Source organism: Homo sapiens, chromosome 3 (genome assembly GCF_000001405.40).
Source record: "Homo sapiens chromosome 3, GRCh38.p14 Primary Assembly".
NCBI lineage: Eukaryota > Metazoa > Chordata > Mammalia > Primates > Hominidae > Homo > Homo sapiens.
In genome coordinates, this window is record NC_000003.12 from 140,366,606 (window position 1) to 140,380,723 (window position 14,118).

General features: G+C 43.4%; 1 protein-coding gene across 2 annotated transcripts in view; it reads left to right on the top strand.

The window, feature by feature from the left end:
- CLSTN2 (calsyntenin 2) overlaps positions 1-14,118 on the top strand; it is a 642,213-nt gene that overhangs the window by 431,421 nt on the left and 196,674 nt on the right. The window lies entirely within an intron of this gene.

Sequence of the window (14,118 nt, forward strand, 5' to 3'; positions counted from 1 at the left end):
CTTTCCTGGGCCTTCACCTCACTTCATTTGCTCTGCAATTCCCTCCACTCTCTGCACCAGCTCAGACACTGCCTCTTCCAAGCAAGTGCCCACAAAACCCTTCAACTGAGAGTGATTGTTTATGTCTCTCTCAAAACTCCAGCCAAGGTTGTTCCTATTTGAAATTTGTCCTTGTACTCAGGACCTTTCTTATATATTTGGATTTTTCCCTTGTAGCGTCAGGGACCAGCTGGCAACTAGGAAATGTTGAAGAGCCGATGTCCTGGGCGTTGTGAATGACAAGGCTGCTCTTATCAGCCAACCCAGGGTAGAACTAGCACCAAGCAGGGGCTCGGCAGCATCTGCAGGAAGGCAGGCCAAGCCAAACTCAGGTGGACTTAGAAGGTGGGCTTGGTATGGTGGTTAGTGTGGGCATGGTGATTAAGCACTTGGTGCTGGGCCCACCACCAGATTCCAGCCCTCCCACGCTATGCTGGATGATCCACAGGTACACTGAAGGGGTGCTTTAGACACCAGAAGAATAGGAGGACACATAAAAAGGAGAAGAATTCAGCTACAGGGAAATGTATTTGGAACTTTACAATTATGGAACTTAGACGCTACACTTGATCTTAGCCAAAAGACCGAGAAGCAATGCGGTGGCTCACACCTGTAATCCCAGCACTTTTGGAGGCCGAGGTGGGCAGATCATGAGGTCAAGAGATCGAGACCATCGTGGCCAGTATGGTGTAACCTCGTCTCTACTAAAAATACGAAAATTAACTGGGTGTGGTGGTGCATGCCTGTAGTCTCAGCTACTTGGGAGGCTGAGGCAGGAGAATTGCTTGAACCGGGGAGGCAGAGGTTGCAGTGAGCCGAGATTGTACCACTGCACTCCATCCTGGTGACAGAGCAACACTTTGTCTCAAAAAAAAAAAAAAAAAAAAAAAGGAAAGAGAAGAATTCAGCTACAGGGAAATGTATTTGGAACTTGACTATTACAGAACTAGAAGCTATTTTACTTCTAGCACCTACCTGGGTTTTGTGTTCATGTCTTGAATTATTTGTTTCTATTTTGAACTGTGAGGGTTGTGGGGCTCCACAGCATTTTTAATACACGAGGTCCCTAATGTTCTTATTCCAGCCTTAGCTGTACCTCTTATTAAATTTGTAGCATTGGGTATAGTTGGGAACCTCTCTGAGCCTCAACTTCTTCATTTGTAAACCATAATGGTAGTAGTTACCACATAGGGATGTTTGATTAAATTAGGGAAGCCCAGTTTCAGTTCTCAGCTTGAGGCCTGGAGCAAAGTGAGTGCTTGGTTAACACAGTTGTCACTGTAGCTGTCCTGGCCCAGGAGGAAGCAGGAGTGGTCATGTTACATCACTGGGAAGAAGGAGGGAAACAAACTTGTCTTCCAGACCCTAAAATCTAAATCAGGGAGAATACTGGAAACTCCTAGGTGATGATTTTTTTATTTATTCCAGTGCATCTTTACTGAGCACCTAAAATGAGCCAATCACTGTGCACAGGGAGTGCAGAGCAGGGATGCCTAAGTTAGCCTGAGGATGGCCATGGTCAAGAAGCCTCCCAGATGAGGTGGCCCGGCTGTATTTTAAAGGACTAGTGGCAAGTTTTATGAATCTGTGTGCCCCCCAGAGCACTCCACGTGCTTTCCTGCATTGCTTGTGCCCTAAGCAGTTAGCACCATCAACAAGCTCTCTCCCTCTGGCTTCCAGTTGCTTAAGCCAGTGGAACCAAGCAAGAGCTCAGAGGAAGAAAAGGGAGTGATGCCAGGTTGTTCATTGCCCTGGGACCTTCCTGCCTAGCCATTACAGGCTGGATGCGCCCTTAACCAAGAGCTGGAAGTCCTGTTAAATGGCCCCATCATCACAGCCTCTGGCTTCGGGTCTCTGAAACCACTTTCTCATCCCCCACTCCAGGCCAAGGGGTGGTATCTATGTCCCTGGTTCCTGCCCGATCCCCTGTGGTTTCTCTACACTCAAACCTCACCATCATGAATAGGCCACTTAGGCATCCTTCCTGCTTCCTCCTAGGACTCTGACTAGCACAGGTAGGGAATTACACAAAGACAGAGGTAAAGAAGAGCCCACCACCTGTGCAAAGACTGGTCAGGACTTGAACCCTGAAAGGCCCTCTGCATGGGAGGCTGGTGGACGTTCAGGCTGGAGAAGTAGGCAAGGACTCTGTGACTTTTTGTGTGAAACCCTTTCCTTCCAGAGCACCCACAGCATACTATTCATTTTATGTGAACATTTTAGAAACATTTATATAGCATTATCATTCACGGATTTTCTTACGGTGTTCTGGGTAACCTTTAAAATGAAAGCATCTGGCAAGCAGTTAGAAAGGCAAGCAAAGCCTTCCTGCACTCTCCTGGTTAGCTTGCCTCCCTCACAGTGCATAATTTAGGCATTTTAACTGACTGTTTTCTGGGACAGTGTGAGCTCTTTTAGGATGAGACTTGCCAGCTTTTTCTGGGTCACAGTGCCCACCTCAAGTAGAGGTTCAGTAGCTTGTTTTTAAATAAATAAATGAGTCTCTGGCTAGATTGTTGCTGTTCTGTTACCCAGCAACATCTAAGACCGATTGTTTAAATGAGGAAGAATAATTAGTAAATTCATCAATTGGATTCTAGACACTTCAATTGTTATACCTTACAATTTAGTTGTCTTGTGTAAAATTCATCAGCAGTCATTATAAGTCAACAATAAGAAAATAAGAGATAGTTTTATGTCATAGGTTTTTATGAACTTCATACTTGCATTTCATTGCAGGCAACAGAGGGAGGCCAGCCAGAGAGCTTTCCTGCCCCTAACATCACAAATTAAACCTGGGATCAGCATAAACTTACTGTGATGATTTATCACAGAAGGTCTTGCATGGATGGATCCCTGCTTGGGCAATGCATTTGCTATCCTCTGGACACAAACAAAATCTGATCAGTTGAGATGTCTGATAATAATTTGTTAAAAAAAAATGAAGATATGCCAACATGGTCCTTTCAACTTCTGCTTGGCCGCATGAGTTGGAGCTAAATATTAGCCGAGCCACTTTGGACCAAACATGCTGCTCCTGTGGCCACAGCACACCCCTCCTCCACCCCCAGCTTGTTGCCCTTCACTCAGACCTGCCTCACTCATTTCTTACCTAGCCTTGTATTACTCACCAGGAATTAAAACCTCTAATTGCAGACTGTGGAGAATCATATCTATAGATGGACACACATGGCCCCACTATGGGTAGCACCACCCAAAGCAGCCAGTAGGCTCCCTGTAAGTTGTTTCTGGGGATCATTTTATGTTATAGATGTGTACTGTATATCAAAATAGAAAAGTACACATTTACAATGGAGACTAATTAGGATTCTTTCCATTGGGTTGTGGGTTGGGAGGTCATGTCTTTAGTCAGAATTGCCCCTTCAGGGCAAGTTAACTTTCACAGAAAAACACTCCATTAGTCATGAGTGACAGGTGAGAGGACGTGTGAACAGGTTGTCTGACAGGGACTGGGTGGTCCAGAGCAGGGCCTCTCAACCCTGGCCCTGGGTTAGGATGCACAGCCTGGGCCTTCCCTAGAGTCTGCTTCAATTACTCACCATTGAGGCCTGCTATCAGCATATGTCAAAGCACCCCCCATGCCCACGCCTTGATTCTCATGTCAGTCAAGGTGCAGAATCGCTGGTCCCAAGGAAGTCAGTCTTGTTAAGGTCAATAGTCATGGGATTGAAGTACAGTCCAGGATGGAAAGCTTGGGGTCTCTGCCTGTACCACCAGACCAGAGACCTAAGGTGGCTTTGTGTTGTTCACCCTGGATTTTTCACGCAACACAGCGTCTGGCATATGGTAGGTGCTCAGTATATATGTAGGAGAGGGAGGGAGGGAGAGAAGAAGGGAGGGAATTGTCATGGAAAGCTTATGACCTGGTTAATAATGATCTGGCAGTTCTAGAATATGGTTGTTGTATCAGGTTTCAAGAAGAAGGAGATGACCCCAGCACAACTCCACTGGTCTGAGAGAACTTTATTTACTCGGCATGCCCTCACCCTAGGCAGTCTGGATTAGAGCTTAAGTGGGAAATACACACAGCTGAAAAAAGAGAACCATTGGGCCTGCAGAAGAACAAATATACATTTCAAGGATGAGTTGCCTTCTGGGAGCTGAATAGCTTTTTCTGATGTGAAGCTCCCAGCAGTTGGGGGCATGCTGGATGCATAAGTACACTTTATTTCTTCCATCATAATCTAAGCACACACATGCCCCACCCTAGCACCGGCCCCACCCACCCCTAACCTGGACAAGCCAAACACATGACACATACCTCCAACAACTTGGCTGCGAGGGCATGGTGGCTCCAGACATCAAACACCCTTCTGAAGGTCTGTGATTTCTGCAGAGTTTGAGCCTCATAAAAATTTAAACACCTGCTAAGTGAAAACAACACCTTTTGCTGTCTTTCTGGCAAACACCTTCTGCAGAAATTTTCTCACTTCCAGAGGCAATGTGTTTCACAGGCAATTCCCCTGGTACTGAAGCTGCTAACAGATAAAGGGAGCCAGGTGAGGCATGCCTTCCAGGAGTCCCAGCAGGTACCTCTGGAGACAGGGATCTGAGAGGCCTTTGGAAGTGAGGGGTTCAGGGCTGCATTTAGGCTGGCCTTTGAAGATAAGGGGTAGAGGCTGGAGCTGGAAGGCATGGACCTGCAAGTTCATTGGAAAAAAATCTGCAGAAGATGGGAAAACCTATTCACTGGAACACAGGCATTTGGGGGTGGGCAGGGGTGGGAAACAAGGAGCTGTCATAACCAAGGACTGACCATGTTGTTACAGTAGCCCTCAGAGACTAATGCACACCCAACCCTGACCTTCCTCAGGGCTGGCTGGTGGCTGCCCCTGGAACCTTCCTGTAAATCAGCCCCTGAGGCCCTGCCCTCCAGTTGGCCACCTGTGCCTGGGCATGTTGGGTCTCAGTCCACACTCAGACCAGAGCCTCAATATCCATTGTCCCATGGAATCCTTCCTCACAGAAAGACAGAGACGGAAATTAGATCCTTACTTTCAGCTGAGAGACTGCAAGTCAGGGAGATTATAGGACTAGCCAAGGACCACACAAGCATTAATTTCTTGGCATCTCTACCAAACCAGTTATGGTCCAATAGCAGGCAGCACATGTTCAGAAAATATGTGGTCTGGAAGCTTCACATTAAACTGTGGCACTTCTGATAAGTGGGCATGCTGTCTGAAACTAGCCCTAACCCCAGGGACATACCTACATTTCCCTTCCCAGGCAGAGTTGTTGTAATACATTGATGTTTCATGATGGGCTGTGGGAGGCCAGAGAGACCAAGCCAGTAACGACTGCGTGGCAACTGGGTTTGTAACTGGGGATCTGGGTGGAGCAGGGATAACTTCAAGGACCTAAGATGAAAGTGGAGGACCTTGGGTGGGGATATCCCAAACCTGAAAGATCCTAGAGCTGGGAGGGAGGAGCAGGAGCTTTGTCTACTGTTGCCCTGCCTGGAATCCCACACTTGAACACTCATGTCTTTCTCCCCAGCCACCGTGCTCCTCGTAGTATCCGGGATGAAATTCTCACTCCTCAGTCTGCTTCCTCAGAGCATCTTGAGATGGCCTCCTGATCCCCGTTGCTGGTCTCATCTATAGATGCTTGTCTGAAGTTACCCTTCTCTTTAATTGTGCTGAGCTGTCTGCAGTTCTCCCAAGCATAGCATGCTGTGCTCCCTGGCCTTTGCTCATGTTGTTTATTTTGCTAGAGCATCTTTTCCCACCTTCCTGGTTAGGTATTTCCTCTTTCTGGATGCCATCCCTGAATGCAGATGATGACTTGGGATGAGCAAAGTATCCCTTCTCTATTTCCAAAGCACTTTATTTGCTGACAGTAACATTAGGCGATGTGGTGTTGCCAGCTGTGATGCACTAAAATTCCCCTGAATCCTTGAGATTCTGGTCTCAAGGCAAGTAATGGTGAGGTGAGTCTGAAGACAACCCTCAGAACACAGGCAACTCCATTAACATGGAGCTGGCAAAATGGTGAGATGGCCATTTGACCATCTATCTTAAGCATACCCTGTGAAGCACTAGTCCCATGTAATGCTCTATAAAAGTGCAGCTCCAAGAATGCATAGTAATGGGAACACTGGTTCTCTTGGAAATTCACAGTGCAAATGAGTATACTAAAGGTTCTGGCTCACACCTGTAATGTCAGCTCTTCAGGAGGCCAAGGTGGGAGGATGGTTTGAGGGCAGGAACTGGATGACATAGAGAAACCCCTTCTCTACAAAACATTTTTAAAAATTAGCCAGGCATAATGGCATGTGCCTGTAGTCCTAGCTACTCAGCAGACTGAAGCAGGAGAAATCAGTTGAGCCTGGGAATTAGAGACTGCAGTGAGCTGTGATTGAGCCATTGCACCATCCTGGGGGACAGATTGAGACCCTGCCTCTAAAGTTAATAAATAAATAATTTTTAAAAAGCTAAAAAGGCTCTGAAAAGTCTTGCAGTTAAGAAACCTGTTTTTAACTCGGTATTTTCCAAAGATATGTAGCTATGAAAAGAACTGTGACTGTGTATAACATTAAGAAAAAGCAGCCATGCCCTGGCAAATTCTGTCACAATTCTATTCCAACACTGACAATAGGAGAGATCATCACATGAAAACCCTGAGGACTGTTGTTCTTATTCTTAGGAGAAGCTGAGATCAGCCATTAGAGAAAGATGGCCTCTTCCCCCTACTGCTCCTTGAGTAACCACCAAGCATAAAACATGCCCAGTGTTAACAACTACATTTTCAACTGGAAAATGATCAGATTTCTGCCTTGCTGCACTCTCACAAAAGGTGCATTCTGAGTGCTGCTCTGTGATGTGCTGTCTATTATATTGAGCAGGAAAATCAGAGACCAAAAGCCCAGAACAAATCTTTCTGTCCTCCCTTGATTCAGGCTGTGGGGCTGCCCATCCAGAGTGCAGAGACCGTCTTTAAGAGAAAGAGCTCTCTAAGTGCAAAAGGGCACTGACAATCAGTACTATTAGCTCAGAAGAGAGAGAGCTCTATTTTAGGGCAAAGGAACAATCACTCTAACCTACATACACCATCATGTGTGAGGCTCTGACTGTTGGTAAGTCAGGAAATGCAATTGTCTCTTTGGAGAGCAAGGTGAAGCCTATCTTCCCAATCATCAGGAGGGGACAGGGTCAAAGCAAGGAGACAGGGAGTTCTCCACCAGCACTGGAGTGCTAAAATGGGCCATTAACACCTGCCAGGACTTTCTGATAGACTGGACATCTTGAGTGCTCTCTGCACTCTTCCCTTCCTGAACATTCAGGCTCTAGACCTTCTCTCCATCTTCTCTGCAGGCTCCAGTTGCAGGCCCTTGTCACTGAGCCTGGATGGCTTCCATCACCTCCTGACAGTCTTCCTGTCCCATGTTGTTTGTTCTTTGTTCCCCTGCAGAAAGGACCTCCTACAGCATGGCATCCTTCCTACACTTTCAATGGCTGCCCCTGACTTCAGCATATTCCACAAACTCCTTCCCACTGGTGTTGACATCACAGACCTTTATGATCTGGTCCTGATTTACTGTTTAATTCTGTGACCTTAAATTCTATGACAGAAGCCAGGTTGATCAGTTATCTGTTCTATGTCTCTGCTTAGGCCTTCTTCCCATCTCCTCCTCCTTTTTTTCTTCTTCCTTCTCCTCCTCCTCTTTCTTTTCCTCCTCCTCTCAGTCTGTCTAAACACTGTCATCCTTTATAACCCAACTCAAGTTCCACATCCTGCCTGGTGTGTCCTCACAGAGTGATCTTATGTCTGTTTACTATTTCATTAATCTCTATTCTTTGGGTATGTTTATTGAAAACACTAATAAAATTGTTAAACCTCTACTGAAGTTACAAAGAGAATAATAAATTTCCTGTATAATTTTAACAGGAATGAAAAAAGAAGACCCCAGATATTAAATAATATGGTATTACAAATAACTTAGGACAATAAATTTGAAATTTTAATTTTTAAGACCAAATTTTAAAAATAGAGCTATCAAATTAATGCAAGAAGAAATAGAAAACCTAAATGATCCTGTAGCTCTTAAATAAATGAAATCAGCAATTTTGTTAAGTAGATACCTGTTCTTTCTGAGCCTACTGAGAGCTTCCTGATAGCTTTCACGTTAGTCTTACATAAATAATATATATCTCAATTTTGCCTGATTGCTGTTATCAGCAGACCCTTTTTAGCACCGTGGTAAGGTTTGAGAGAAGGAAGTTGGTCACAGACAACTTTATCACTCCAATTATTCCCTCTGACTACACCAGCCCAGCTTAAAGCCTTTGCATTTTGCAGAATTTAAGACTCACAAGTTTCTTGGCCTTCTCCCTTCCTTTGCTCACCTAGGAGCCAATGTGGTAGCTCTGAGTCTTGATGCCTGGACTCTATAATGATATGTATGGATGGACAATGCTCTTTGTTGCTCACAAAATGTAGCTGAGGGGAGATGTAGTTGAGGGGAGATGTAGCTGAGGGGAAGTGTAGCTGAGGGGAAAGGTAGTTGAGAGGACCAGATGATCTGACTCAGTTTTCACTGAAAATGTGAGTCATGCTTTCATTCTGGTACATTGAAGAAACTGGAATGAGGAGGAGACACACATTCAAAGGGAGTTCAAAGGGAAAGGATAAATGTCGTGCTTTGTGATCCCTGGGGATCTCCACTCAGGGGATGTTTGCTTGAGGAAGGGGACCCCTTGCTATGGGTTGGCAGCTGTGGGAGGCCTGTGCACCTGTGGTGACTGACATGCCTGGGAAGGCCATGACAGTTTTTATTCATGGGGACCCAGCCTTAAGCACATGCCTCATGACCAAATGAGCTCTGTCTTCTTTTCCATTTTGTTTTATTGCCCAATTACCCTAGTTTTATACTTTGTAGATTATATTCTTTTAGTATCCGCTTTGCTCTTTTGTTTCTTGTATTTTAATTGTTCTCAGCTGACTTGTGCCTTAATGGCTCTCTTTTATCTCACTTTTACATTTACCCATGGCTTATATTTTATCTGGTCCTCTCATCACGTTCAACTTTTATTTTGGGCCTTATTTTTATCTTGCTCATTTTTATTTTAGCCCTGTTATTTGCCTTACATGTTGTTTTAAATGATTCTGTCTTTGATTCATCATTTTGTTGATAACTTACTATTCCTTTATTGTCTTTTTTGCTCTTTAATTACAAAACAGAAAGTCTGGGGCAGAATCATGAGGAAACTAGTTGTGAGGGTTTTAGAAACATCTTGGATGCCCAGAAACAGTAAACTACTTATGCTAACACCATACAATAAAGACTTATTAGGAGAATGCAGAAAAATATCAAAAAAAGAAGTGCAGTTTAGGATGTTTAAGCCTCATTAGAAATGAAAAGTTATCAAAAACTATAATCTCCCTGTGTCACTCACTCTGGGGTCCCTCTCTGCTCTTCTGCTCCATGTGCTCTCTCCAAACAATTGAGGTCTGCTTTTCCAAGCCAACCTAACCACTGAACTCAAGTTTCATGCCTTACAGTCCAGAACTCCCTACTATCTAACTGTCTCTGTCACTGTTAGCCAATTCCAAATGCAAAAAAGAAAGGATCAGAGTGAGCAGTTCAGCTTGGCTCAGTTTTCAACTTCTAACCTTCACCCCACCTCCATCAGCTATAGATGACAGAGGGCAGTGAGAGGTACTCAAGGCTGCCCCTTCTAGGCTGCTGCAGGTAGGCTCCTAACCAAGGGTGGTGATGGAGACGGATGGAATGGAGGCCTGATGCTTTCTTCTTTCCAGATAATCTTGTGGCAGCATCACAGCCTCCTGCCAAAGATTCCCCTCCTTTCTGCATTTTTCCTCTATTTCTTCTCAGTTTAAAAATATTTAGTAGAATAATCCAGTAGACAAATGGCCAGAATTCTAAGTCTTCCTTCTGATAGGTAAACTCTACATGGATTTTGCTTTTAAATGCTATTACAAAGTTGTTGCTGTTGTTTTTCACAACATGTTGCATAGGGTTCCTGTGAGGAGTTATATCCTAAATCCCATGTCTTGTCTGATTGTGCAATCACATTTGGCAAGATTTGCCAACAGGAGAGCAGTATCTACATTTAATTGAAATAAACTACCATGTTATTTGTAGTATTCTCATAACAATTCTTGGAAGGAAGAATAAGGAAAGGTCCACAGGCTGGGTTTGTATTGTTCTTCTATCAGTTTGTCTTGATGAAGTCTTAAAGTGAGCAAGAGCCATGTCCCTGCCCTCTGAAGTGAAGGAAAGGAACATACTTTTGCTATAGGTACTCCCTTGTCTTTTTCCCTGGTAGCAGATGCATACAGGAATTGGCCAGAGATTAGAGGATTTCAGGTTAGTGTGTTACACACACACATACACAGAGAGAGAGAGAGAGAGGATGTGTGTGTGTGTTATATGCCATAAAATGATGTTTTGGTCAACAACAGACCACATATGTGACAGTGGTCCCAAAAGATTATAACGGAGTTAAAAAATTCCTATTGCCTGCTGATGTCATAGCCATTGTAGCTCATATCATTGCACATTACTCATGTGTTTGTGGTGATGTTGGTATAAACAAACCTACTGCACTGCTAGTCATATAAAAGTATAGCACACACAGAAGGTATAGGACATAATACTCAATAATGATAATAAATGACTATATTACTGATTTATGTATTTATTTTTTATTGCTATTTCAGAGCATAGTCATTCTACTTATATGTTAACTGTAAAACAGCATCAGACAAGTCCTTCAGGAGGTATTTCAGAAGAAGGCATTGTTGTCCTAGGAGATGAGAGCTCCATGCATGTTATTTACCCTGAAGAACTTCTAGTCAGACAAGGTGGAAGACAGTGATATTGATGATTCTGACCCTGTGTAGGCCTAGGCTAATGTGTGTGTTCATGTCTTAGTTTTTAACAAAAAGCTTAATAAATAAAAATAAATTGCAAAAGTAGAAAAAAGCTTATAGAATAAAAATACTAATATAAAGAAAGAAAACATTTTTTTACAGCTATACAGTGTGTTTTAAGCTCAGTGTTACAAAACTCAAAAAGTTAAAAAATATTTAAAAGCTTATAAAGTCCAAAAGTTATTCACTAAGGTTAATTTATTATTCAAGAAAGAAAAATATGTTTAGCACATTTAGTGTAGCCTAAATGTGCAGTGTTTACAAAGTCCACAGTAGTGGGCAGCAGTGTCCTGGGGTTTCATATTCACTCACCACTCACTCACCCAGAGTAACTTTCAGTCTTGCAGGCTGCATTCATGGTAAGTGCCCTGTACAGGTTTACCACTTTAAAAAAATCTTTTACACCATATTTTTACTGAGCCTTTTCTATGTTTAGGTATGTTAAGATACACACGTAGTTACTATTTTATTATAATTTCTTTCCTACAGTATTCAATACAGTAATTTGCTGTACAGATTTGTTGCCTGTGAACAACAGGCTACACCATATAGCCTAGGTGTGTAGTAGTCTGTACCACCTAGGTTTGTGTAAAAGTCCACTTTATGATATTTGCTCAACAATGAAATTTCTAATGACAATTTTCTTCAAATGTATCCCTATCGTTAAGTGACACTTGACTCTCTCAATGTATATAAATGACCGGATACTTCATTTAGCACCTACTCTGGATGACATGTAGTAGATGCTCAGTAAATATTTGATGAATAAACTGCAAAGCCATCTGGCTCTAATAGAGTAAGGGAACTAATATCTAAATATGTTTAATTCTATTCCAGGCCCTTTACAAGCTTAGGCTGTATGAGGCCAAGGACCACAACCTTCCTAAATGAATAGAATTTTTCCATAGGTGAAGAGTGTTCTACTGACACTAGGAAAGGTGGAGCTCAAGACGCAGTTAATTTAATCTGTTTATTTATTGTTGGTGCTATAATATCTGCCTGCCAGGGACCCGAGACCTAGGCTTACTTGTTGGCACTATGATCCTATTGTTCATCTGAACTTGGCCATGGAGAAAGCAACAGGGAGGTTGTGAGTCCAATTGGAAGAGCTTCTTTGGATCCTTGTACTCAGAAAGAGCATGGGCACAGGAATCAGAAATACTGGGTGACTTACGGGCTGTGTGGCCTTGGGTGAGTCACGTAGCCTCTCTAAGCTCCAATTTACTTTTCTCTAAAATGTGGTAAAAATAGCTAGCTCTCAGGAGCATTACCCAGGATTAAGCATGCTGATATGTGTGAAACACCACATCTAGTGCTTGATGTATAGTAGATGCTCAGTTATATATGGTTTTACCCTTCCCTCCCACCTTTCCTCCTTCCTGCAGCAATCAGTGCAACTTAAATCATAGCCTCAACTTACTGAAATGAGCTTGAGATCTGAAGTCTTTATCTGTTGTGGTTGACTGTCCACATTAGCTTAGCAGCTGGGCTTCCCCTGCAGTAGCACATTCTGCTCCATTCCAATCTTGTTGTCTGGCAAGAAAGGTGCTAATTCAAACCCCAAAGAGCTCCCACATTCTGGAAGAATGAAGAGGCACAGATGAATCACTTTCCCCTTTAGTTGCTGCTGAGTGTTTGCCAGCAGGAGCTGAGACCATCTCACTTAGGCCTGTTGTTTCTCTGCTGACAGTGTTGGGTGCCAGCATGACCAAGAAAGGAGGACACAATCTCTGGACCATAATGAGAGGGATGTACACCCAGAGTACCCTAGGAGACTGATCCAGGGGAGGTCACAGTCATCGTGGAGGTTGCCGAGAAGGGAAGGGGAAGGAGGAGACAGTGACTCTTCAGAGTAGCTCAGTGGCTGAGACATTCTGTGGATTGTAGGGAAATCATTCAGCCAGGGTCTTCGACCACTATGGTGGCATCCACCCCATGAATTGGAAGGCTTGCTTCATTTCCTAGGAGGTTGACATCAGAGTAGTGGAGTGCTGAAGATGCAATGCCTTTCCTCCTGGGGAAGGGAACATGGGAGGCTTCATTCTAAAGTAAAATAGCAAAACACAGCATCAATTTTAAAATGTGCATGCCCAGTATATCCACTTTTAGGAATTCATCATCATTTTGTCATTGGGTACAGGTTAAATATGTTTGCCATATCCGTAGGATGGAATATTATGTAGCCACCAAAATAAAGCTTGTAGGGTGTCTTTAATAAGCTACGAAAATGATCTTATAATATGAAATGAAGATGCAGGGTACAGAATTATACATAATGTATGATCTCTACTATTTAATGAAAGCTCACTGAAAGAAGACTGTGGAAGTAAATATGCCTAAAAGTTACTACCAATTGCCTCCAAAAAATAGGATTACCATTCCTTTTTTGCCTTTTTATATTTATAAATTTTATCTACTGAGCATAAAAATTGACAATGAAACAAAACCCACCAAGAGATACTACTATAAGTGATACTGAATCCAAAGACATTGACTTTCTGGTGGAATTTCAGACAACACCAGGGGAAATTGTTGGAATAAGAGCCATCTCATGCCTGTTGAATGACCCCAGCCAGACAGTGATCTGTAGAATGGACCATTGAGCCAGCTCTGACAACACTGGGCTTGAGGAATGCCCAAAAATGTGTGAGGGGCAGTTGGGAGTGTGTGTCTGTCACAGAGTCAGGAGACCCCATCATAATCAACCCATTGTGGGGCCCTGGTGGAAGGGGAGGCAGGGCTTCTACTATGGGTTAGCCCTGTTCCCTGAGCAAAACAAATGGTGCCCTCGTGTGTGATCTAAGACTGTCCAGCCAGGTATAAATTGGAATGCTTCTCAGATTGTCTCCCTCAGGGGATGGCACTAACAATGAAATAATAACAGGTTTATTTATAGCTCTTTTATTGAAGTACTTGAGAATTTCTTTTTTAATTCTGCAATTCATCCAAGTTTTGGAAACATTGACAATTATTTTCATTTCTTCTTGAGAAAATATGGTCAGTGGCATGAAGCCTATTTAAGCACCTTCAGCAAACTCCAAAACACCTTTCTTACTGATCCTATTTCCTACAAAGTACCACCTTCTCTGCCTCACTGACTGGGCATCCATGGCCAACTCTGATGCATAACTCCTCACTCATTCAGTAAGCATGCTGTGAGCC